At 51.0% G+C, this 25735-nt stretch overlaps 1 protein-coding gene and 1 pseudogene across 1 annotated transcript in view, besides 5 other annotated features; both read right to left on the bottom strand.

The window, feature by feature from the left end:
• Positions 1-21540, bottom strand: part of RADIL (Rap associating with DIL domain) — an 86662-nt gene extending 65122 nt beyond the window's left edge. The window contains exons 1-2 of the mRNA NM_018059.5: positions 21420-21540; positions 15429-16027 (exon numbers count right to left, since the gene is read on the bottom strand). Coding sequence (NP_060529.4) covers positions 15429-15963 — 535 coding nt within the window. The 5' untranslated portion in view covers positions 15964-16027; positions 21420-21540. The remainder of the gene's footprint in view (positions 1-15428; positions 16028-21419) is intronic.
• RPL22P16 (ribosomal protein L22 pseudogene 16) lies at positions 3192-3648 on the bottom strand (annotated as a pseudogene).
• Positions 20242-20536: an enhancer, noted in NCBI's record as "tiled region #4159; HepG2 Activating non-DNase unmatched - State 21:Repr, and K562 Activating DNase matched - State 4:PromP". NCBI's record gives its function as "activates a minimal TATA promoter and a strong SV40 promoter by Sharpr-MPRA in HepG2 and K562 cells {active_cell/tissue: HepG2 | K562}" and the evidence as "EXISTENCE:reporter gene assay evidence [ECO:0000049][PMID:27701403]".
• Positions 20242-20954: a biological region, named in NCBI's record as "Sharpr-MPRA regulatory region 4159".
• Positions 20266-20954: an enhancer, noted in NCBI's record as "H3K27ac-H3K4me1 hESC enhancer chr7:4922073-4922761 (GRCh37/hg19 assembly coordinates)". NCBI's record gives its function as "activates a minimal SCP1, AML or CMV promoter by ChIP-STARR-seq in naive H9 embryonic stem cells {active_cell/tissue: H9 hESC(naive)}" and the evidence as "EXISTENCE:reporter gene assay evidence [ECO:0000049][PMID:30033119]".
• Positions 20955-21642: an enhancer, noted in NCBI's record as "H3K27ac-H3K4me1 hESC enhancer chr7:4922762-4923449 (GRCh37/hg19 assembly coordinates)". NCBI's record gives its function as "activates a minimal SCP1, AML or CMV promoter by ChIP-STARR-seq in naive H9 embryonic stem cells {active_cell/tissue: H9 hESC(naive)}" and the evidence as "EXISTENCE:reporter gene assay evidence [ECO:0000049][PMID:30033119]".
• Positions 21352-21571: a silencer, noted in NCBI's record as "silent region_17905". NCBI's record gives its function as "represses an Ori minimal core promoter by ATAC-STARR-seq in GM12878 lymphoblastoid cells {active_cell/tissue: GM12878}" and the evidence as "EXISTENCE:reporter gene assay evidence [ECO:0000049][PMID:35858748]".

The following is a 25735-nucleotide window of genomic DNA, read 5'->3' on the forward strand; positions in this document are numbered from 1 at the left end:
CAACCCTTTATTGCCACTATTTTACATATTTGCCCAACTTTACCCATCTAATTCTTTGCTCTCCAAGTCCCTTGACATCGCAGATGTGCATCCTTTTTGGGGGCACCCTCAGCACTCTTCACCCTAGCGTGCACCCTTTGGAAGTCCAAAGACCCCTTCGTGGTGGGAACCCGCGGTGGAAAGCAGCTTCTGTCTTGTTTCTTGGGCCGTTGCTGGACATTGGTTTAGCTGGGGCAGCATTTCGAGGTCGACATTTGTGTTCTGGCCATGCTTTAAGGGCGCGATACTGCTGTCCTCTGGTTCCCGTTGAGAATTCCGCAGCTAGGTGAACTACTGCTCGTCTGTCTTTTCTTATGGCAGCTATAAAAGTGTCTGTCCCTAGTGCCCTGTGATCCCACCACTGTGTGTCCAGGCATAGATTTCTCTTTAATAATCTTACCCAGGCTGGGCGCAGTGGCTCACGCCTGTAATCCCAGCACTATGGGAGGCCGAGGCGGGCAGATCACCTGAGGTCAGGAGTTGGAGACCAGCCTCAACATGGAGAAACCCCGTCACTACTAAAAATACAAAATTAGCCGGGCGTGGTGGTGCATGCCTGTAATCCCAGCTACTCGGGAGGCTGAGGCAGGAGAATTGCTTGAACCTGAGAGGCAGAGGTTGCGGTGAGCCAAGATCACACCATTGCACTCCAGCCTGGGCAACAAGAGTGAAACTCTGTCTCAAAAAAAAAAATAAAATTAAAAATAAAAATAAAAAATAAAAAATATAATCTTACCCAGGATACACTATGATTCCCGAATCAGAAGTCATGCTTTTTATGATCTCCAGAAGCTTCTTGGGCACTTCCTGGGAATATGTTCTCCCACTTGTCTCCTGATTCTCTTCATCTAGACACGTTGTCAACCTTCTCACTCTGTCCTCCATGTCTCTTAAGCCGTGTGTCTTTCTGGGTGATGCCAGATTACCTCCAAGTCCTCTCTTCAGTTGTATTTAGTCTGCTGTTTAAGCATCATTGAAATATCCACTTAAATACTTATATTTCACTATTTTGTTCTTTTCCAAGCTTCTCTGCCTTTTAGATGGCATTCTGTTCTTTCATGTTTTTCCCCCTACCTTTTATTTCTTTAAACGTGTTAAACATACTTATTTAGTACTCTATAACTAATTATTCTAATTCCGAATGCTCTTGAGAAACTGTATAGTTTGTTGTTATCCAAGAACTCAGAGTGGTATTACCTCTTGGGTCTTGTAATTTTGGATTGTGAGCTCATTTCTGGTGAAGCTTGGAATGCCTGTGTAGACGCTGTGTCCTTCCAAAGAGGATTTGCTTTGTTTCCAGTAGATGTTCTTGTACACTATAGAATTGCAGTCAGTGTAATTTCTTATCCAGGGATTATCCACAACATCTAGATGGTGCAACTTTGAACCCCAAATACATGTAAGAGGACATGTGGTTTTCATTTTTAAGGAACAGTCTTTAGTTTTTCCCACCCAAGTCAAGAGAGAGAACTTCCTTTGCCATCTCCTTTCACCAGGTAGCAGATTCTTCTTACTCCATTTTTTCACTCAATGTGTCACCCTTTGAGGATTCCAATTGTATTTGGAGGGGTCTCAATTCTAACTCCCTACCTTTTAAGGTCCCAAGAGCTTTCTGTCTCTTCTTGGACAGCTGCTAAACTTAAGTTTCTCAGTTTCCAAGACTGGCCAATGCCTCTAGGGCGGTTCTAGTTTCAGAATCAGCTACAATCCTGAGGTTTCAAGGTATCCCTTTTTCTTCCAGCCCTAGAGACTTCCTTTATTTTCCTGGGTACTCAGCTATGCATTCAAAAAAATGATTTCTTATATTTATCCAACATTTCCAGGCACTTTACATAGAAAGATTTTCTGGGATAATTAATCCCATATATTGCCAGAAATATAAATACCTTCTTTTTAATCCATTTCAACATTGGCTTACATGCTCAAAAACAGCTATCAGCAAGGTCTTTGGTGACCTCCATGTTGCCCAACCCATGACCCCAATGATTTCCATCTTCTTTGACCTATGGTAGCTTCATCTTGGCCTCTGCGACACCATACTCTTTGTCTTCCACATGTCTGGCCAGTCCTCAGTCAAATTTGCTGATTCCTCCTCCTTTACTTGACCTCTAAATGTTGGGAGTTCCTCCAGTTTCCATTCTAAGCCCTCATTTCTCCTCACTGCATGTACATTCACTGCCTGGTTAATCTGCTGATTTCCACAGCTTTAAATACCACTTACTTACAGATTAATTCATATTTTAATCAGACTCTCTTCTGAACTCCAGATCCATATTATCTGACTGCCTGTGGTTGCCACCTATATTTGGATGCCTTTAACTTAACATAGTTTAAAGAGAACTCTAACTCATCCTCCCACAGTTTGCTTCTCTCTCAGTAGTCTCCATTTTAGGAAATGACATCTCTTTCTACCCAACTCTTGATACAAGAAACCTGGGAGTCATTCTGGACACCTCCCTGTTTTGCATCCTCAACATCCAATTCATTTACAAGTTCTGTTGATTTCACCTCCAGAATATACTTAAAATCCCTCTACTGCTTTCTACCTGTTCCCTTATAACTCTAGTCCAAGCCACCATCAACTCTCATTTCAACTTCTACAACAACTAAATTAATCTCCTATTACTGACCTTTTCAAAGTATTCTCTACCTAGGAGCCAGAGTCATCTTTTAATCCCTCCAATGACCTCCCATTATACACAGTGTAAAATCCAAAATACATAACAAGCCAGGTAGATCTTTTCCCCAACTATCTGTCTAGCCGCACCTTCTGCAACTTTCCCCTCTGCACCAGCTGCAATGGCCTTCTTGCAGTGCCTGCCTTTGCTTCATTCTCTCTCATCCCTGGATCTTCACACAATGCTGTTCTGTCTGACCAGAATGCTCTTCCTGCCCCACCGACTGCCCACTGCTCTCTACCTGGTTGGTGTGTTGTCATCTTTGAGACTGGCTTACATTTCACCTCTTGAGAGTGAATTTCCCTCACCCCCCATTCCAAATGAGCACATGTGCTTCTTTTTCATAGCACATAAAACAACTTGTAGTTGCAGTCATGTACATTATGACATTTTGGACAACAGACCATATATACAATGATGGCCCTGCAAGAATACAATATTGTATTTTTACTGTTTCTTTTCTGTGTGGTTTTTTTTTGTTGTTGTTCCCAAGTTTTATTCAAGAACTCATACAAAATATTTCAGATAAATGGAATTTAATCCTTGTCTTCCTCCTCTTCTTTGTCCTGGTTAATCTGGAAGTAATGTAATTCGTAACTCTCTTTGCTGTTAGCAACTATGCGCAGCCAATATTCTTCAAATATTTTTTGTTGAGATACTTCAAATACCTTTTTGAGAAAGGGACCTCGGATGTCACAGTGATCTTGCTCTTGCTCCTTTCGATGGTCACCACCCCTCCACCAAGGTTCCCAGCTTTTCCATTCACTTTGATCCTTTCTTGCAAAAACTGCTCAAATTGGCAGCATCTGTGATTCCATCTTCTACGGGGTGGGTGCAATCAAGAGTGAACTTCAGAACCTGCTTATTTTTTTTGCCCCCCTTCACCACAAGGTTTTTCACAGGAGCCATGGCAGCAGCGGAGGCAGAAAGGGAGGTGAGTGAACCCCTTTTCTGTGTTGAGATATGTTTAGACACACAAATATTTACCGTTATGTTCTAATTACCTTTAGCATTCAGTATACAGAAATATACTGTAGAGGTATGTAACCTAGGAGCAATAGGCTATGCCATATAACCTAGGTGTGTAGTAAACTATACCATCTAGGTTTGTGTAAGTCACTCTAGGATGTTCCAACAATGACAAATTGCCTAATCATGGATTTCTCAAAACATATCACCATCATTAACGATGCATGACTGTATATGTTTTTTGAGTGATTATATCTGTGTGTGTGCGTGTGCATGTGCGTGTGCATGTATGTGTGTTTTAAGAGATAAGGTCTCCTCTGTTACCCAGGCTGGAGTGCAGTAGTGTGATCATAGCTCACTGCAGCCTTGAACTTCTGGCCTGTCTTGCCCTCCCAAAGTGCTTGGATTACAGGCATGAACCACTGCACCCAGCCACATCTTTGTTTTGATTGCCTGCTAGACTCTTGACTCCATGAAATCATTTATTTATAAATCCATGAAATGGATTTGTTTTGTCTATTGCAACATATCCAGCGCCTAATCAAATACCTAACACAGAGTAGCCAAATTTTACTTATGAATAAATGAGAACAAAAAAAATATTTCTCATCCAAGTCTCTGGCAAATCAATATCTAGAAAACCTGTTTCTTGAGTTTTGATTAGATAGAGGGGCAATTTCAAATCTATACGTTGTGACCTTGGGGAAATCATTTAATTGTCCATTTCACAGCTGCTCACAAAAGACAGCTACAGAGTTTCTATGGCTGCATTCCTATAACACTCCACTCCACTGCAATGCCTTTTGATTTGAAAGTGTCTCCAGGGGAGACTTATCCTGGGTCAGTGAGGGGTGAGGAGAGCAGCACAGTCAGTGCTATGGTTTGGATGGGGTTTGTTTGTCCCCACTAAAACTCATGTTGGAATTTGATCCCCAAAGGGGAAGTGCTGGAGGCAGGCCTAGTAGGAGGTGTTTGGGTCATGGGGACAGATCCCTCATGAATGGCTGGTACTGTGCTCACCGTAGTAAATGAGTTCTCGTTCTGGCAAGACCAGATCGAGAATGGATTGGTTTCCAAGAACAGTAGGCTGCTATAAAGCCAGGGCACCCCTCAGGTTTCCCTCTTTGCACCTGTCTGCTTCCCCTTTGACCTTTTCTGCCATGTGATGACGCAGCACAGAAGCCCTCACCAGAAGCCAGGGCCGTGCCCTGGAACTTCTCAGCCTGTGGAACCATGAGATAAATAAACCTCTTTTCCTTATACATTACCAGCCACAGGTATTCTGCTGTGGCAACAAGAAATGGACTAAAGCAGAGCCTAAAGGTGTTGAGGGGCACACAGGCACACGAGGCTTCTGAGGAAGCTGCTGTCCAGCCATGCTCACCAGGAAATGACATGCACATATGCTCTGTAATCCAGCAGCTCCGTTCCTGGAAGAATGCCTCCGAGAACTCTGCACAAGCCCTCAACAGGTTCATTGTGTCACCATTTTAGTAGGAAGAAGCTGTACCCAATTTGAGTGTCTGTGCTTAAGGAAATGAATATGTAGTATAGGCATATAATGGAAAACTATGAATCAGTCAAAAGCAATGAGCTGACTAGAGCACCATGGGTAGGTGTCAAAAACATAATGTGAGGCCAGGTGTGGTGGCTCATGGCTGTAATCCCAGCACTTTGGGAGGCTGAGGTGGGAGGATCACTTGAGCCCAGGAGTTTGAGACCAGTCTGGCAACATAGTGAGGCCCTGTCTCTATTTTTAAAATAAATAAGTAAATAAATAAATAAATAAATAATGTAATGTGAGTTACAAAAGGAACAATGAGCTTTATAGCTCAATCCCACTTAGGTAAATTAAACATATACAAAATATTATTTATGTATTAAGGATACATATGAATCCAAATATATGAAAGGTAAGTTGGAATGGTATTCATTAATACACTAGAGTGGGTTCCCAAGGACAATGACAATGAAAAAAGAAAATGATCCTATCCATCCACCAGAGCATCTGCCAACAGATTGGAAACCCATGGCCACACAAAGCAGAGAGAAGCTTGGCCCTTTCTCTGCACTTACTTGTTCCCCATATTGGTGAGACGGCTGTCCTGCATTAGGCATTCGGTCATGGCTGCAGGCCAGAGTAAACTAACTTTCATAACTTTGACTTTAACATCATTGGTTTCTTATTATGGGGAAATGAACTGTGTTTTTTTTTTCTGAGATGGAGTCTCACTGTGTCGCCCAGGCTGGAGTGCAGTGGCATGATCTCGGCTCACTGCAAGCTCCGCCTCCCGGGTTCATGCCATTCTCCTGCCTCAGCCTCCCGAGTAGCTGGGACTACAGGCGCCCGCCACCACACCTGGCTAATTTTCTATATTTTTAGTAGAGACGGGGTTTCACCGTGTTAGCCAGAATGGTCTCAATCTCCTGACCTCGTGATCCGCCCGCCTCGGCCTCCCAAAGTGCCGGGATTACAGGTGTGAGCCACCTTGCCCGGCCATGAACTGTTGTTTTTTAAATAACATATATGTGTACGGGTGGCAGCCTCTGGATTAGCTATCAGCAACCCTCACAACTTCTTTGCCTTGTACTAGAGGGTGCAAAGCCGAAATCTTTGTCCAGCTTCCTCTGCAGCCAGAGCCAGCTGTGGGTGGCAACGGCATCAGTGAAGCTAGCCTCCCCTATCGTGTGTGTTAGCCACGCTTGCTTCACCTTCCTCCAGCTGCAAACTTGTGCCAGCTTCACGTTTTCTAGTGGATGTTTTGCCGTTTTCTTGCTGATCTTTAGACATGCATTACTTTATTCTAGTTATTCATCACATCAGTTTTAGATATTGCAAACATTTTCTTCTAGTATATCACCTATCTTTTATCTATACAGTGTCCTTGGTCAAAGAAAAATTTTGAATTTTGATATAGTCAAATCTATCTACTTTTTTTCCTTACAGATTGCACTTTAAAAACAAAACAAAACAAAAAAACAGGCTGGGCACAGTGGCTTATGCCTGTAATCCCAGCACTTTGGGAGGCCAAGGCAGGCAGATCATTTGAGGTCAGGAGTTCGAGACCAGCCTGACTAACATGGTGAAACCCTGTCTTTACTAAAAATACAAAAATTAGCCGGGCCTCATGGCAGCTGTCTGTGATCCCAGCTATTCAGGAGGCTGAGGCAGGAGAATGGGCTGAACCCGAGAAGTGGAGGTTGCAGTGAGCTGAGATTGTACCACTGCACTCCAGCCTGAGTGACAGAGCAAGACTCCATCTCAAAAGACAAACAAACAAACAAAAACAGATGAGGTCTTGCCCTGTTGCCCAGGCTGGAGTGCAGTGGCATGATCACAGCTCACTGCAGCCTTGACCTTCTGGGCTCAAGTGATCCTCCCACCTTAGCCCCCTGAGTAGCTGGGACTACAGGCCTGTGGCACCACACACAGCTAATTTTCATATTTTTCTGTAGAGACAGAGTCTCATTATGTTGCTCGGGCTGGGCTCCAACTCCTGGCCCAACTGATCCTCTCACTTCAGCCTCCCAAAGTGCTAGGATTACAGGCGTGAGCCACAATGCCCAACCACTTTGCACTTTTTAAGCCTTCTTTATGAAATCTTTCATTTGGCTATATAATTTTACCTTTGACACGTAGGTCTCTGATGCATTTAGAGGAAGGACCCAATTTCCTTTTTTTTTTTTTTCCATATAGCTGAAGCCAGTTATCCCAACATAATTTACAAAATTCTTTCCCCAGGATTTATGATGCATGCTATAGCCCACCCAATTCCCACAGGGTATTTGGTCTGCATCTGCACTCTCTCTTCTGTTCCATTGCTTTATTTGTCTCTTCCTGCCCCTAAAACCACATAGTTTCAATCACCATGGCTTTAAGGTATGTCTCAAGACTAATAAGGTCAATCCCTCCCACCCTTGCTTGTCTTGTTCAAACCTATCATAGGCATTCGAGAATCTGACTCTTTCGCAAAGATGGACACTCAGGCCAGGTGCAGTGGCTCGTACCTGAAATCCCGGCACTTTGGGAGGCCAAGGCAGGAGGACCACCTGAACTCAGGAGTTCAAGACCATGCTGGGCAACATAGTGAGACCTCATCTCTACCAAAAAAAATAAAATAAAGAAATAAGTCGAGTGTGTTGGCATGTGCCTGTGTTCTCAGCTACGCAGAGGGGCTGAGGTGGGAGGATCGCTTGGGCCCAGGAGATCGAGGCTGCAGTGAGCCATGATTGCACCACTGCACGCTAGCCTGGGCAACAGAGTAAGTCCCTGTCTCAAACAACAACAACAGCAACAACAACAAAAACAAAGATGGACACCAAGTCTTGCAAGGACAGCACGGCAGGGAAGGGGCGCAGGGCGAGCTGACCTCTCAGTCTGTATATATCTGACACCTCTGAAAACACTTCTGCCACTTAAACCCTCAAAACAAAAGAACGATACATTCTCTGTCAGTATATTCTCTAAAACCATGAGAGACGCTACTCAGTATGATTTAAACAGATCCCCAAACATCTTTCAACCAACATTATAGGTCACTGTTGGGAACCAACAGATATTAACGTGGTTTTTTGTTTTGTTTTGTTTTGTTTCTTTGAGATGGAGTCTCGCTCTCTTGCCCAGGCTGGAGTGCAGTGGCACAATCTCAGCTCATTGCAAGCTCCACCTCCCAGGTTCAAGCAATTCTCCTGCCTCAGCCTCCCAAGTAGCTGGGATTACAGGTGCCCACCACCATGCCTGGCTAATTTTTTTATATTTTTAGTAGAGACGGGATTTCACCATGTTGGCCAGGCTGGTCTGGAACTCCTGACCTCAGGTGATCCACCCTCCTCGGCCTCCCAAAGTGCTGGGATTACAGGCGTGAGCCACCGTGCCCGACTATTTTATGTCTTTCAAACAGTTCACACCAGTGACAACATCCCTCTGTGTTTTTGGTGTTAATGCTAAACTCTGTCAGTGGCCCCTTATGGAACGTAGCTGGACGTCACCCGAGTCCCCAGGGCAGGAGGGGGTGCTGCCCCTCCGGGACTCACTCAGCTCAGGGGACAACAGGGCTGTCAACGGTGCCTCTATGATCAAACTGAAGGTTACTGATTTTTTAAGTGTAAGCAGTAAACTGAAGGATGAAACTGGCTGTGAGCAACTAACCATTCAAGTTTATTTTCTCTTTGAATTGGAAATGCTCAAACACGTCTTTAAAGTTCAATAACTTTTCTAGTTTTAGGCTGGTGAAAAAAGGTTTGGGGTTGTTTTGCTTTTAGCCAGACCACATACAATGAAGGTTTCCCACGGTGACTCTGTCATTGGGAATCCACTGGAAGGGAAGTCCCAGTTAAGTGGCAGTGAGTTATTCCCATGTAAAAAGAGGAAAAGCAATCCTTTCACCTCCACTGTGCTAAGATAAGAGTTATTTTCAAGTCAGAGTCATAGCGGAAGAAAAATATTTCAAATGAAAACAACCACAAAGAGGTTTGCGGACAAGGGAGGACAGAACTCACGGCACCCCGTCGGCAGAGGAAGGCAGCGGCGCTTCCCGCGTGCACACAACAGTCCCTGCGGCCCGCACACCCCTGGCTGTCATCGGGGAGGCCGAGTCCTGCTACCTGTCCTGAGTGACAAGGCGGGACGACAAATGCAAACTCAGAGCTGGCACTCAGCGACAACACAGACCTGCCACCCGCCTGCCAGCTCCATCGCAGCACTGGGGGCAGGAGGGCAGCCCACCACGCCGCCAGGTGGCCAGGGCTGCAGGTTCCTCTGTCGCTCAAGCCACATCCACACTCCTGGACGGCCACACCATCCCCACACCACCCTCCCACACACACACAAAGAAAACGGACCCCACTCGGGAGTCTTGCAGACGCATAGGAGCTAAGACCCACAGAGGGGCCTCCTCTCCTCAGGGCACCAACCCTTCCACAGGTATTTAATAAGCACCTACTGTATACCAGACATTGGATGGGCTGTTTTTCAGTCAAAAGCCCAGTGAGTGCTGGGGTGGTGTTCCCAGGCTTTGTTTAGCCTGAACCTTCCTGGCTAAACCTCGGCGGCTTTACAAACTCTCTAGGGTGCCTCTTTACAAAGTGCGCATCCAAAGCCACGGTGATGTCCCTGTCTCCAGGAACGCATGAATGCCAAGACTCTGCACGTCACCATCCCTGAGACCCTGGGTTTGCCAGGCACCCAGCCCCTCCGAGAGTGGCCCAGGAGAAACAAATGTCGCCACTGTGGATCAGGCCTGAGGGCCTGGGGCAGGTACTCAGCCATATGGTCCCAGTGGGCAGGGGCTCGTGTGGCCGAGTCCAGGCAGCCAGGTCCAATACTGCAGCTCTCAATAGAGGGCAGGTCTGCCTCCAGGGAACATCTGGCCATGTCTGCAGACATCTTTGGTTGTTACAACTTGGGGGTGGGGGCACAGGAGCCAGGGACACTGCTCATCGCCCTGCAACCACGGACGCCTCCCTCAGCAAAGATGCCCCAACCTAAAATGTAACGGGAGGAAGGGAGAAAGCAAGGAAGGCCAGCCCTCCCCGGGCTCTGCGCGGGTTTAACACTTACCCCTCCTGCAAAGGCAAACCAAGCCTCCCCTCACCGTTCCCCAGCCCCTGACAAAAACCACATGGCCCTGTCATCGCCCCTCCCCAGTGCATCTAAGTGGCTGCTGTCTTATCTCGGTGACAGGACCCAGGCCCCTCTGTGGGGCACCAGCCCTAAATACAGCCTTCTAGGAAAGGGGAGTGAGAGCCACTTCCAGCCCGGCCATACCTCCAGCACCAGCCTCCTCCTGGAAGAGACCCTCTAGGTCTTGTGACTCTGGAAATCAGGGGGAACCTGGTGGCTATGAGAAGGAGACATTTATGGAAAACAAAAACCCAAAGTGCCTGCGTGCATTTCTACAGGGGGGTAGCAGTGAACTAAGTGATGAGTGAACCGGCAGGAAGCGCCTGGCTGACACCTTCCCCACCAGACTCTGTAGGGGAGTCCGAGGTGAGGGGCAGGGGAGAGGCCTGAGAGACTTTGGCGAAATGCTTCCCCTGAAATGGTGCAACCCGTTAGCCCAACCCAGAACCAATGTGACTCTGTTTTTCTTTTGAGTCAGAGTCTCGCTCTGTCACCCAGGCTGGAGTGCAGTGGTGCGATCTCAGCTCACTGCAACCTCCGCCTCCTGGGTTCAAGCGATTCTCTGCCTCCCAAGTAGCTGGGATTACAGGTATGCACCATCATGCCCGGCTACTTCTTTTATATTTTCAGTAGAGACGGGGTTTCACCATGTTGGTCAGACTGGTCTTGAACTCCTGACTTCAATTGATCTGCCTGCCTCGGCCTCCCAAAGTGCTGGGATTACACGCGTGAGCCACCGCGCCCGGCCAAGTGTGACTCTTACCATAGGAGTAATGGGAAATTATTGAAAAACAGTGTTACAGTGTTGAGCAACCTGGGGCTGGACTCGTTAACACAAACGTACATGGTCACACATGCATGCACACACATGCACACCACACAGACACACACACATGGTCACACGTGCACATCACATCACCACATGCACAGGCCAGGGGTCCCTTCCCTTTCTCGCCACTTTTTCCAGGTGAGATCGAACTGTTATCTCACCAGGGATCAGGGACAGCCCCACGCTGGGTCCTCTTGGGAGAGAATGCAGGAGCTGAAGGGGCCCTGGCGTGCGCTGGACCTCACTGGGCCTGCCCTGCAGGGGCAGATGTGATCCTGCCATCCCGCCGTCCTTTTGAAACTACACCACCCACTTCAGTAGGATTTGTTTCACTGCAGCCCCCCACCTTCCCCCAAAGCGACACGGTGACACATGCCCCACACTGAGGGCCACTCTCAGGACAAACAGACACCACAGCAGCCCCATCGGTGCCCAGGGAGGCGCAGGACAGGCGGGCTGCTGGAAGGCGCAGAGCTCACCATCACCGGAGGTATGTAATGGAGAGGACACGGTGGGTGTTAGGAAAGCCTCCCCACCACGATTCTTCCACGTCACTCCAACCTGAGGCAGGCTGGCGCCCACGGCTGCTGGAGAAGCTGCTACAGTGAAAAACCCCTCGGCTTCCCACCTCCTCCCCTTCTCTGGCTCTCAGTCGTTCCCCTTGGAGGGGCGAGGGAGGAATCGCCTAGTGCCGGCTGCAAACTCACTCAGGGGGACGTGGGACACAGCAAAGGCTCAGTGCCCTCCCCGTTCCGTGCCTCCAAGCCAGCAGGAGAGACCTCTCAGAGGCGGGTTCCAGGGATGTGCACAGAGGCCGCCTCCAACCCACGGAAAGGCCGTGCAGGTGTCTCACGCAGGGAACAGTTCCAAGTGGGAGACTGTGTGTGTGAGCACCTGTGTGGACATTTCTCTGTCCAGGTACCCATGTGTCACCACAACAACCGAACACACTCTAGCGCAAAGCTTCTGGGCGCGGGCCTGTTTGAGGCAGGGCTGTCCAGCTACAGTAAGGTCTGTGCGGGGTCATCCCCAGCGGAGCCTGGCTTATCCACGTGGGGACCCCCTGGGTCTAGCCTTCCCCCGGCTCCAGGCAGAGGCTCAATAACCGTTCTGTAATGAGCAGAAGCATGTGTGCATGCCTCTACCAGCTGCTCCATCTCAAACCACCCGGCCGCCTCAGTGAACCTTCTTGGCATGGCTGAGGGTCACAGGAGTCCCTGGGCCACAGCCAGAGAAGGTCAGCAAGGAAGGATGAGTGCCCGAGGCCCAGGGGGCCAGCTCTGGGTAGGTAACACAACCTGCTCCAGCCCAGATGAGTGTGTCAGTATGGCTGGGCAGCCTGATGGACTCTCTTTGGCAGGTTTCGAAAACCGCCACGAGCTTAGACAGGCTGTGAGCAGGGGTGCTTTCGCTCGCCCTGAATAATTTAACAGGAATGATTCCAAAAGAAGTGCATGAGCTTGGCCGGGTGTGGTGGCTCACACCTGTCATCCCAGCACTTTAGGAGGCCAAGGTGGGCAGATCACCTGAGGTCCGGAGTTCGAGACCAGCCTGGCCAACATGGTGAAACCCCATCTCTACTAAAAATACAAAAATTGGCCGGGCGCGGTGGCTCACGCCTGTAATCCCAGCACTTTGGGAGGCCGAGGCGGGCGGATCACAAGGTCAGGAGATGGAGACCATCCTGGCTAACACGGTGAAACCCCGTGTCTACTAAAAATACAAAAAATTAGCCGGGCGTGGTGGCGGGCGCCTGTAGTCCCAGCTACTCGGGAGGCTGAGGCAGGAGAATGGCGTGAACCCGGGAGGCGGAGCTTGCAGTGAGCCGAGATTGTGCCACTGCACTCCAGCCTGGGCGACAGAGCGAGACTCCATCTCCAACAACAACAACAACAACAACAACAACAACAACAACAACAACAACAAAATTAGCCGGGCGTGGTGGTGGTGCATGCCGTAATCCCAGCTATTCAGGAGGCTGAGGCAGGAGAATCGTTTGAACCTGGGAGGCAGAGGTTGCAGTGAGCTGAGATCATGCCATTGCACTCCAGCCTGGGCGACAGAGAGAGACTCCATCTCAAAAAAAAAAAAAGAAGCACGTGAGCCTCAGACAAGCTCCTGTCTCCTGCAACATGCACTCTGGCCCCACCATCCTACACTGGCAGTCGCCTATCACCTGTGAAGACGGCGGGCCTTCCCAGGGCTCCTCCTCGCCCGGTGACACACAACGCAATGGCCTGAGGACAGGCCAGGCTGATCCCCAGCCACACAGCAGCAACCCTGGCCCGTGCTCTGCAGCCCCAAGGTGGCCCTGTCCCACTCGCTTTTTGCCCGCTGCTTGGCAGAGGCAACGCATGGTGGAAGAATGACCGAAATTCTGTGTCTGACATTGAAGAGCCTTTGTTCCCGTGCAGAAAACATCCCACCATGCGCCTCCTCCCTTTCGGGTTTCCTGGCCTCACAGGAGGTCTTTTTGAATCAGGAGGGGAGGGACCCCATCTCTGCCACCGGATCACCGGTCCTTCCAAGGGACCACTGGATCGTGACATGGCAGGGTCAGGATGAAAACCAAATCCCAGAAGTGGCGACCTCTGGGTGGAGGAAGGATCCCCAGGTGCAGGCAATTGGGGGTGCTTGTCTGAGCAGACTTTAAGAGCCATAATTAAAGCAACCACAAGTTACTCTTTTTATTGTTATTTTTTTGAGACAGGGTCTCACTCTGTTGCCTGGGCTAGAGTGCAGTGGTACAATCCTGGCTGCAGCATCTGCGGCTCAAGCCATCTTCCCACCTCAGCCTCCTGAGGAGCTGGGACCATAGGTATGCACCACCATGCCTGGCTAATTTTTTTATTTTTTGTAGAGATGGGGCCTCACTATGTTACCCAGGCTGCTCTCAAACTCCTAGGCTCAAGCGATCCTCCTACCTTGGCCTCTCAAAGTGTTGAGATTACAGGTGTGAGCCACCACACCCGGCCAAATTTATTTTATTTATTTATTTATATTTGAGACTGAGTTTCGTTCTTGTTGCCCAGGCTGGAGAGCAATGGCATGATCTCGGCTCACTGCAACCTCCGCCTCCCAGGTTCAAGCGATTCTCCTGCCTGAGCCTCCTGAGTAGCTGGGATTACAGGCGCCTGCCACCACGCCCGGCTAATTTTTGTATTTTTAGTAGATACGGGGTTTCACCATGTTGGCCAGGCTGGTCTCCAACTCCTGACCTCAGGTGATCCACCTGCGTTGGCCTCCCAAAGTGCTGGGATTACAGGTGTGAGCCACCGCGCCTGGCCAAAATTATTTTTTATGACACACACCTATTAAGATAATCAACTTCTTTCCACCAATTGAATAAATCACCAGACACAGTGGGCCCCAGGCCCCGGGGCTCTCAAACTCTGCGGCAGGCACTCAACGCCACCCGTGCTCTCGGCACTCCTCAGACCGACAATGATCGGCTGCCCGTGGCCAGGCCCTCCTCAGGAAGGCCTCCCACCACCCAGGCACCCACAGACCCGCGGTACGCTGAGTGCACCGTGGTCACCTCTGGAGACCTTGCAACCCGGCAATGCCACGTAGGTTTTGGCCTGGGACAGATTCCTTGATTGTCTTTTCACTTCATTGCCCCAAAAACTCCCCGACAAGGTCGCAGGTGCTAAAGGACTTGGAGGGACCCTGTATTTAACAAGGCGTGCGTGGTTGCTATGGTCAATGAGATGACTGCTGGAGAGCTGGACAATAATCTGATCAGACAAAAGAACAGATGTGGCCTCAAATATTGCAAGAATATATCAGGAGCCTCTGAGGAACACCAGCCAGCCTCCTGCTGCGTAGACAAACTACAACTTCCCAGACAGCTGAGGTGAAAGTGGTGAGTTTAAGAGGAAACCTTTGGGAGGCCAAAGTAGGAGGATCGCTTGAGGGCAGGAGGTCAAGACTATCCTGGGTATCACAGCGAGACTCCTGTCTCTACAAAAAGTAAAAAATTAGCTGGGTGTGGTGGTGCACCTATAGTCCTAGCTACTCAGGAGGCTGAGGTGGGAGGATCGCTTGAGCCCAGGAGGCTGCAGTGAGCTGTGGTTGCACCACTGCACTCCAGCCTGGGTGACAGAGCAAGACCCTGTCTCAGAGAACAAAAGAGGAAGGCTTCAAACATCCAGGACACGGGCTCCGACTGCCTCCTGCAGAGCGAGCCCGCCCCACGCATGTCCCCTGCACCACTCCTTCTCCGCCTACCTCGGCTGGCCTTCTCAGCGCTCAGACCCACGGCTCTTCCTGAACCTGTGGCCCCCCTCACCTGCCGTGATGGTGTCCACCTCCTTGGCTGCCAGCTCCTCCACGTCCGACCTCTTCCTCAGCTCAAACCTCCGGGATAAACCTTCTCGGGGTTTCCATAATTCCTGGATCAAGAGGGGCTTCTCACTGTCCCCAAACACCCGAAAGCACCGGGCCTGCCACCGCTGCCCAGCATCGCCGGCTTGGCCCACCACGTCACACAGCACGTACTGGCCGGCCTGCCTGGGGTCCAGGGCGTACCGCTCCAGCGCCTCCTTCACCAGCTCACGGGCGCTGGAGGTGCCGGTGGCCAGGACGCTCTTGTAGTGGGTTCCTGTGCAGACACTGTCCCCAAACACCTTCAGGACACCAGGGGCCGACAGCTGGGTGGAGAGCTCGGCGGGGTCATCGCTGGCGCCCAGGCTGGAGAAGGTGGAGTCCAGGTCCCGGTACTTGTAGCTCAGCGTCCGGGACAGCATGCTGGACAACAGCTGGCTCTGCCGCTTCAGTTTGCTCTTGGTGGGCGGGGACATGATGAAGTGCGTCCCATAAAACATGGTGGGTGAGGCTTCATGGATGAGGACTGTGGGCTTCAGCCAAAGGATGTGGGGAGGCCGTGACCTGGGTGAAAAAGTGAGAGAGGTTAGCGCCAACCATCGTGACCACCAAGAGCAAATGAGGCCACAGGCGGTGACTCCTGCCCGTCATCCCAGCGCTTTAGAAGGCCAAGGTGGGAGGACGGCTTGAGCCCGGGAGTTCCAGACCAGCCTGGGAAACATAGTAAGGCCCCGGCTCTACAAAAAATTTAAAAATTAGCCAGGCATGGTGGTGTGCACTGTACCCACTGCTCTGAAGGCTGAGGCTGGAGGATGGCTTGAGCCCAGGAGTTCAAGATTGCAGTGAGCTATGATAGTGCCACGGCCCTCCAGCCCGGGCAGCAGAGCAAGACCCCATCTCAAAATCTAATGGACATAACAGGCCGTGGGCATCCTGGCCCCGCAGACCTGACACCAGAGCACCTGAGCAGAGGATGTGGCTGGAGCCTGCAGGGCCACCAGAGACCGAGAGGACTAAACGGGCTGGAGCGCCCTTCAAGGAAAGCCATTACTGGGAAACACAATGAGGTCGCCTAAGTAAGACACGCTCCGCTGCAGGGCTTGGATTTCTGGAAAGTGCTGGGCGCAGCGCCCGTGTGCAGTGAGCATCAAGGAGCGCCCCACCCGGAGCCGGCCCCAGCACCATCACAGCCACAGAAGAGCAGCGGGCAGCCCAAGGGCAAAGCTTCGCCTCTCCGTAAACCTCGTGTCTCCTACCCCACAGGCTGCGACGTGGGAAATGGGTCACAAACACAGTGCAACCAGGAAAACAGGCGAATCGCAGCCACGTTGGCAGAATAGACCATCAGACATTCCAGACACAAACCCCCAGAATCTACCCCTCAGGGCAAGAGACCCGTCCTGGCTTGAAGGAGATACTCCCTGGGATGGCAGCACTGAGTGGCCTCGCAAGCACGGCGGGCACAAAGGGCCCCTCTCGAGCCGGTGCAGGCATGGCCGGAATGCAGGCGTCCCGCCCACCACAGGCCGCGGGTGCCCGGCGCTCCAGGCCACAGAGATGCAGTCTCCTGGGGAAACGGGAAAACAGCCTGGGACGCGTTGGCGTGTCATACAATCACACTTCTAATGTCCGTAGCGTGCCCAGGGCCAGGAGTTCCAGATGGTTTCTCAGTCTCCCTCCAGAACCTCTGTGGGGGCAGGAGGGCAGAGAAAAAGGAAGGCAGGTCTCCGATTTGGAAAAGGTGAGGCTGGACTGCAAGGCAGGAAAATACTGGAAAACTGCGCACACATCTCCCCATTACTGTACCCCACTTCCGTGCTCATGTTCTCACCAAAGACAAAGGTGGCAGACGAGTGAGCCAGGAGGAAAGCCTATTTTCTGGAAAGCTCTGGAAAGAGTGGTCCAGGTCCCAGTGAACACAGCACGGGTCGCCTGCCACTGCGACCGGGGTCAGTACTAAACACCGCAGCAGCCAACTGTCACTGTCCAGGCTTGACTCACTCGTCACGCTGCGGGCGCTGCAAAAGGCTTCTGGAAAGGACGGTGGCTGCCTAGGGCCACAGAAAGCAACCAGGGAACCCCTCCAAAGAAAAGGAGCCACACTGTCCCTTAGGAAACTAAACAGTGGAACCGCCCCAGCCTCCAAAGCTGACACTGCGAACTGGCCTCTTTCTAATATCACCGGGGCGTGGGTCATCTTCTCTGGAGCCTCTCACTGCCCGCCAGAGCTGTCATGGGTGAGTCCTGAAATCAGACCACCACTCGCTTCCTCCAGAACCAGCCCAGGTCAGCCAGCAGCTGTGCTTTCTCCGAGGACCTTGAACTCTTCAGAAATACTTCCGACAGCTTCGCACACCAGAGACTGGGTTCCCAACGCGGACGTCTGCCCTGCGGGGTGGGTGGCTGGCCCTTCTCCTGTTCCTATAGCCCACTGCGGACACTTCACCACGGCAAAGGCTTTCGCTGTGCCTGGCTTTCTGAAGAGGTGAATTTGCTGTAACAGGTCACGGAGTTCCCAGTACAGGTCATAAGCAGATGGAGCCTTGAGGTTCCATCGAGCCAGGCCATAAAGGAGTAAAGGAGCAAAGCCTTTGTTTCTCTTCCTCTGAGGAAGGTGCAACGAGTGGCCTTGTCAAATCCTAAGAAGCTCAGAGCCGGCCGCAGCTTCCCCCACGGACTCATCAAAGGCCTCGGTTTCATTTACAACAAAAGCATTTTCAGACAGTGCTCACATCACAAACGTGCGGCCTGGCCTGTGCACACCACACCAGCGGCTTCCAATCGCCCTCTAGTCTGACCTCAGTCTCCTGTGGTCAGTTTTCAAAGTGAGTACTTGGAATCACAGAACAAAACCCCTCAAAGAGCCTCTCCAGCCGGCACTTATTAACCATCCATGAGAGCTGCACAACCCTGCTCCAAAGCACCTCTCCAGATGCCCCAGGCTTAGAAGCCTCCAGGCAGCACACACTGGCAGAGGGTCGGCCACCACCTTTTCATAGTGCTCATTTCCAACGGGTTCCCCAGGGTGCAAAGGCAAAGTGCAGGTGGTGGATGGTACAGCCTCTGCCACCAGGCAGCTGTGGCTCAGGAAACCTCTGCCTCCGGAGATGAAGTCTGAATGCTGATATAAATACGATACCAAAAACTGGGGAAGCCCCCTCCAGGCAGGAGAAAGCCCATATCACAGAAAAGTCATGAAGCAGAGCCAAGTATTTAAAAGGCCAAGGCAGGAGAATGGCTTAAGGCCAGGAGTTCAAGACTAGCCTGGGCAACATAACAAGATCCCAATCTCTACAGAAAATAAAAATAAAAAATTAGCTGGGCATGGTGTGCACCTGTAGTCCCAGCTACTCGGGAGGCTGAGGCAGGAGGATCACCGGAGCCCAGGAGTTCCAGGCTACAGTGAGCTATGATTGCGCCACGTCACTCCAGCCTGGGCAATGGAGTGAGACCCTCTCTGTTAAAAAAAAAAAAAAAAAAAAAAAAAAAAAGATGGCTGGGCACGGTGGCTCACGCTTGTAATCCCAGCACTTTGGGAGGCTGAGGCGGGCAGATCACGAGGTCAGCAGATCGAGACCATCCTGGCTAACACTATGAAACCCTTTTTCTACTAAAAATACAAAAAATTAGCCAGGCGTGGTGGTGGGCACCTGTAGTCCCAGCTACTCGGGAGGCTGAGGCAGGAGAATGGCGTGAACCCGGGAGGCGGAGCTTGCAGTGAGCCAAGATCATGCCACTGCACTCCAGCCTGGGCGACAGAGTGAGACTCCCTCTCAAAAAAAAAAAAAAAAAAAAGACAAAAATTGGCTGGGCATGGTGGTTCATGCCTGTAATCCCAGCTCTTTGGGAGGCCGAGGCGGGCAGATCACTTGAGGTCAGGAGTTCAAGACCAGCCTGGCCAACATGGTGAAACCCTGTCTCCACTAAAAATACAAAAATTAGCTGGGCATGGTGGCGGGTGCCTGTAACCCCAGCTACTTGGCAGGCTGAGGCAGGAGAATCGCTTGAACCCCAGAGGCAGAGGTTGCAGCAAGCCGAGATCACGCCACTGCACTCCAGCCTGGGCAACAGAGTGAGACTCCGTCTCAAAAAAAAAAAAAAAGACAAAAATTATAAAAAGGCCCCCAAATACAATGGAAAAGTGAGTTGATATTTGGGGCCCAGGGGTGGATATATGTTTTGTAAGGTCTGACATTTACATAATTCTTCTTTAATAAAAAACAAATAGAAAATTACAAACACACAACTGCTAGGTCTCCTCCCAGGGTCTTAGAAGCTTGAACTTCAGAAATGTTGTTCCCCCCACTTCCCCCCACCCCTGCTTTTCCCACAGTTTCCGGAGCCGGATTCGAAGGCAGAGGCAGAGTTAGCAGTATCATGAAACAGGAGAAAATGTAAGCAGAGAGAATATGATTGACTCCTTTCCAATAACTCCTTCTTAAGCCCCCAGAAGTCCCTGTTACACAAACCTTATCTGTTTTGGGATTTTCAGAAAGCATTTCTCTCCGTTTGGTCATCCTCCCTTGGCCAGACCAGAGGGTGCCCACTTGTTCACACGCTGCCCGCTTCCGAATCCCAGAAGGCGGAGCCTGGCCTGTTTGTGAGAATGGGATGGACTCGTTTTTTAAAAGGCCAAGGGGAGTGCAGGAAAATCCGACCGGGCGGAGCACGCCCTGGGTAACAAGATCTGTTTTTCTGGAAGTGCGACCGGCCTCTTCTGCCCCATTCGCTCCTCTGTGACACAAATACTTGGGGAAAGCGCAGGGCTCGGACAGCGAGGGTGTGGGGCGCTGGCTGGTGCTGCTCTTAGAGAATGTTTTCTCTTGTTCTCAAGGAAGGGTCCAGTTTCTGATGAAAAACAAGCTCAAGTCCCAGCGGCGAGTACAGGGAGTGAGGTCAGTGCTGCGCTGACGACATGGGTGGAGCGACCTCTCTGCTCCAACAGGACAATGTGGAACCCATTATCATTTCCAGCAGGAGGGAAAACGAAGCGCAGACTTTACACACTCAGCTCTCTCCCCTCCTTCCATGAATCCTATCTTTACAGCCCCAGCCCGAGCCACGCTTTCAAATGCAAACATAATTCAATCAGATTTAATTCTGACCTGCTAGCTGCTGGAGAGGAGACCGACTTGCCCCCCAGCAAAAGGGACTTTCAAGACTGGTTCCTGTCTGGAATGCACAAGAGGTGGCCTATATTAACCGCGGGACACGAGCAATCAGATTCTTCTGTGCAATTCAGATTAGCCAAACACTTGACAGGCGACAGGGCAGGGCAGGATGGTCCGCAGCCCCGCCAGGGCCCTGCCAACCCCACCAACAGGCTCCTCCTGCGAGGCCCCAGGAGCTCGGCTCAGCATCTGTTATCTTGGATGCAGTATTTGTCGAGGGGCTGGAAATGGTACATAAATAGCCGGGAAACAATGCTTTGAGCTGGCGCACGAGTGGGGATCGGGCTGCAACCGGGACGGGGTATGTGCAGGGGACGTCTCGCCGGCCCAGGTGGGAGAGCGCGCGGAACCCTGCGCCCCGCTCCCCCGCTGCGCCCCGCTCCCCCGCTGCGCGCCCCGGACGAAGCTCCCCCTCCAGGGCACAGCCGGGAAAACTGAGGGCCGAGAGTCCCCTGGAGTTGGGGGTCCGGGGCCCACGCGGACAGCCAGGCTCAGGAGCTCTCGGGGGTCGGCAGCGCGGACCCCCGGATCCCCGCAGGCTGGGCCGCCCTTGCCCGCGCTAGCCGGCCTCCGGGTACCGCCCCCCGGTCCAGGCCGGGGCCCGACAGCCAGTCGGTTCCCATGGCAACTGGGCAAACCTGCCCTCCGCGCCCCGACCAGCGGCCGGGAGTGTCCCCGAGCGCGCCCCGCGGCCTCCGCGCCCCAGGTCCCCGGCAGCGGCCGAGCAGCGCCCCTTACGAGCCACCCCCGGTTCCGCAGTCACTCCTCGCGCACCCCACACTCACCTCCGGCACAACCCGCCGCGCCGCCACGTTCCCGCGCTGCTCCCACCCGCCGTTGGCTGGGGCCGGCGCCCAGACCCGCGCGTGCCGCGGCGCCTCCTGCCGGCGGCGCAACGGGCGGGGCGGGGCCTCAAGGGGACGGGGCCACAAAGGGTGGGGCGGGGGAGAACAGGTGGGCTGGAGCTGGGCCTCGGCGCCCAATAGGCAGAAAGAAAGCCTCGAGGAGGCGGGGTCTCCAGGAGAGGGGCGGGGCCAACCTGCTAGAAAAGGCGGGCTGTGCTCTGGCGCCTCCTGCCGGCCGCCCAATGGACGGGGATGCAGCCTCGAGGGGGCGGGGCCTCACCGGAGAGGCGGGGTTTTGAAGAAAGGGGTGGGGCTGGTTGTGGAGAGGCGGGACTTGCAGCCCACCCACAGACTGCAGCTTAAGGAGGGGGGGTCCCCGGAGGAAGGGTGGGACCAGTTCTAAGTCCCTGAGCTGCTTGTGGGCTCTGGGCTCCTGCGGTTGGGTGGGCTATTTCGAGACAGCACCTTCTAGTAGCCCAGTGAGTGGGTGTAGGGGAGGGTAGAGCTGTGCCCCCAATTAATAAACATCTTCTAAGACATCGAAAAGGAACAAGGGAGGAATTTCCTCTCCCCTACCATCTGTCTCCCACCCAGAGTTTTAAAAGACAAATCAGGTCATGGCATTCCTGCTTACAATTATGCAAAAAAATGACCAGGTCAGCTCTGGGGCTCTGGCCCCAACTGCTCTCCCTGGGGACTTGTTTAAAAAGCAGCTCGTGACCTCGGCACTTTGGCTGGGGTTTTCCCTTTGAGGAATGTGGGCTAGACCTGGGAGATTCAGGTGGTTCGGAATATCAATATGCAGAATGTGGGCCTCGGGAGTGAACCTTTTTGTGGACAGCTATCGTGGTATGATTTCCGTAGTCATGACCCCATATTCGCGATGGAGGTCGGAGCAGACATTGATGAGTGTGGGAACAGACATTTATTGACCACCTGTGTGCCAGGCCCTAGGCAACTTTACCTAGGTCACCTCACTTAATGCTCACATCAATTCTTGTGAGACAGAGATGTCTGAGACATTCCAGGCCTCCCCTTTCCTCCACCTATCACCTGCTAATCCTAAAGTCCACCTCCTAAACCTTTTCTAATAAAAAATAGTGCCTCAAAGTCAACACAGAGAGACAGATTTGAGCCAGGCTCCTGTCTCCTTATTGATCAACTCACAATACGGACAAAAAAAGCTTTTGTCTCAAAAACTTAATGCAGTAAGATTGGCTTTTTTTTTTTTTTTTTTTTTTTTTTTTTTTGGAGACAGAGTCTTATTCTATTGCCCTAGCTGGAGTGCAGTGGTGTGATCTCAGCTCACTGCAACCACCACCTCCCAGGTTCAAGCGATTCTCCTGCCTCAGCCTCCCGAGTAGCTAAGGTTAACAGGCACCTACCACCACGCCCACCTAATTTTTGTATTTTTAGTAGAGACGGGGTTTTGCCATGTTGACCAGGCTGGTTTTGAAATCCTAACATCAGGTGATCCACCCACCTCAGTCTCCCAAAGTGCTGGAATTACAGGCATGAACCTCTGCACCTGATCAAGATTGGCTTCTAGCAGAGCAAGCGCAGAACCCTTTTGTTCAGTAATACTCCCATTTTTCAGATGAGAAAATAGAGACGCAGAGAGGTCAGGCTGCTGGAGGTAGAGACAAGAACTGAGCCAGGAATACAGGACCCTCTGTATACACACCAACCTCCTCGCCTACCCCAGGAAGGGATGCTTGAAAGGAATGACGTGCTTGAATATTTCATTCAGGTGCGCATGAAGAGACAATGGTCAGAGCTGAAGGAGAGCCTGGGTTCAGGCCTGGGTTTTCCTCCTGAGATATTCCTCACCCTGCTCCTGGCCCATCTCCCACAGTCCCCACATCCTTCTTCCACAGGGGTCGGATAACTACAACCCATGGGCCAGATCTGGGCTGCCTTCTGTTTTTGTAAATAAAGTTTTATTCAAACACAGCTACCCTCATTTGTTTAGATATTATCTACGACTGCTTTCCTGCAACCAGGATTTTACAGCCCCAAATATCTAAAATATGACCTGGCCCTTTATAGAGAAACTTTTCAGATTGCTTCTTGATCTAGAAATGCTGACTTTTTGGTATGAATATGCTGTTTCATGCCTCGAGATCTTCCCTCAGGCCGGTCCCTTGACCTTCAAACACCTTTTCCAACTGTATTAGATTAGCTGAGCTGCTATTAAAAAATGCCAGATCAGGTGGCTCGAAAAACGGAAATGTTTTATCTGGCAGCTCTGGAGGCTGGAAGTCCAAGGTGAAGTTGTCAGCAGGTTTGGCTTCTTTGAGGGCCTCTATCCTTGGTTTGCAGACGGCCACCTTCTGGCTGTGCCCCCACATGGCCTTTCTTCTGGGTGTGCACCTCTCACCTGTCTCTTTGTGTGTTCAATCTCCTCTTTTTATAAGGACACTAGTCAGATTAGACTAGGGCCCATCCTAACAGCCTCATTTTATCTTAATCACCTCTTTAAAGGCCCTGTCTCCAAATATAGTCACATTCTGAGGTGTGAGGGGTCGGGGCTTCAACAAACACGTGAATTTTAGGGGGACAAAATTCAGACCATAACAGCAAACTTCATTACCTGGCTAACTTCTTTTTTTTCAAATGTGTGTGTGTATATATATATATATATATTTTTTTTTTAGATGGAACCTTGCTCTGTCGCCCAGGCTGGAGTGCGGTGAGGCAATCTTGGCTCACTGCAATCTCTGCCTCCCAGGTTCAAGCGATTCTCCTGCTTCAGCCTCCTGAGTAGCTGGGATTATAGGCACCTGCCACCACGCCTGACTAATTTTTGTAATTTTAGTAGAGATGGGGCTTCACCATGTTGACCAGGCTGGTCTCGAACTCCTGACCTTGCAATCTGCCTGCCTCAGCCTCCCAAAGTGCTAGGATTATAGGCATGAGCCACCACACCCGGCCGCTAATTTCTACTCATCCTTTGAGACTCAGATAAGGCGTTTCTTTGGTAGTAGCCAACCTCCAAGATGGCCCCAGTGATTCCCACCTCTTGGTTTTCATGCTCCTGTATAGGCCCATGTTGAATAGGGCAGACTTGTGTAATCAGTAAGATACTGCCAAAATGACACTGTGACTTCTGGAACACAATCATAAAAGACGTGGCTTCTGCCCTTGCTCTCTCTTAGATCAGTAGTTCTGAGGTCAGTGAGCCATGGTGGATGTGAGTCCTCCAGCCCCAGGAGACTTTAGGTGACAGACATCCCAGCTGGAGTCCATTGAAGGACCCTGAGCCAAAAAAGCTCCCTCCTCCCTGCAGCAAAGCTACTCCCAAATTCCCAACCCTCAAAGACTATGAGATGATAATTTTTTTTTTTTTAGATGGAGGCTTGCTCTGTTGCCTAGGCTGGAGTGCAGTGGTGCAATTTCAGCTCACTGCAACATCCACCTCCCGGATTCAAGTGATTCTCCTGCCTCAGCCTCCCGAGTAGCTGGGAATACAGGCACCTGCCACCACCCCCACCTAATTTTGTATTTTTAGCAGAAATGGGGTTTCCCCATGTTAGCTAAGCTGGTCTCGAACTCCTGACCTCAAGTGACCCACCCACCTCAGCCTCCCAAAGTGCTGGGATTACAGGCATGAGCCACCACATCCAGCTGATAAATGTTTATTATTGACCTCAGCTACTAAGTTTTGGCAGCAGTTTGTTACGTAGCAATGGATAACTAATACCCCTTATCCAGAAAGATCTTCCTGTCTCCTAGACCTGGTTACATGTCCTCTTGTGTGCGCCCACAGTCTTTTATTTTTGTTACCTTTTTATTAAGCAAGTCCACATCAATCACACTATGTTCCTTAAACCTAAACCAGATGTTATTACTCCTCCACCTATAACCCTCTCATAACTTTTCCTTTTGCACTTAGAATAAAGTAGGTTTGCAAAACCCAGCTCCAACTGCTCTCTTCCTTGGCCTTGGATCTCCAGCCCTCAGAACTTCTTTCCTCAAGCACTCTGAGGTCATCTCCCTTCTCCGAGACCTTTCCTCTTTGGTCTCCTTGACCCCACAGCCTTCCCTCTGTGTTTTCATGCTGGGCCCCTTCCCAGCGCAGAAACTCATCTCCCTTCCTGTCTTCTGACCACCTCTTGACCATCACCCCCGAGTCATTCTCGATTTTATTATACATATATATATTATACATATATATAATATAGAGAGATTTAATTTATATATATTTATAAATATATAATTTATATATATATATATATAGAGAGAGAGAGAGAGCA

Source organism: Homo sapiens, chromosome 7 (assembly GCF_000001405.40).
Source record: "Homo sapiens chromosome 7, GRCh38.p14 Primary Assembly".
In the NCBI taxonomy this organism is placed as follows: domain Eukaryota; kingdom Metazoa; phylum Chordata; class Mammalia; order Primates; family Hominidae; genus Homo; species Homo sapiens.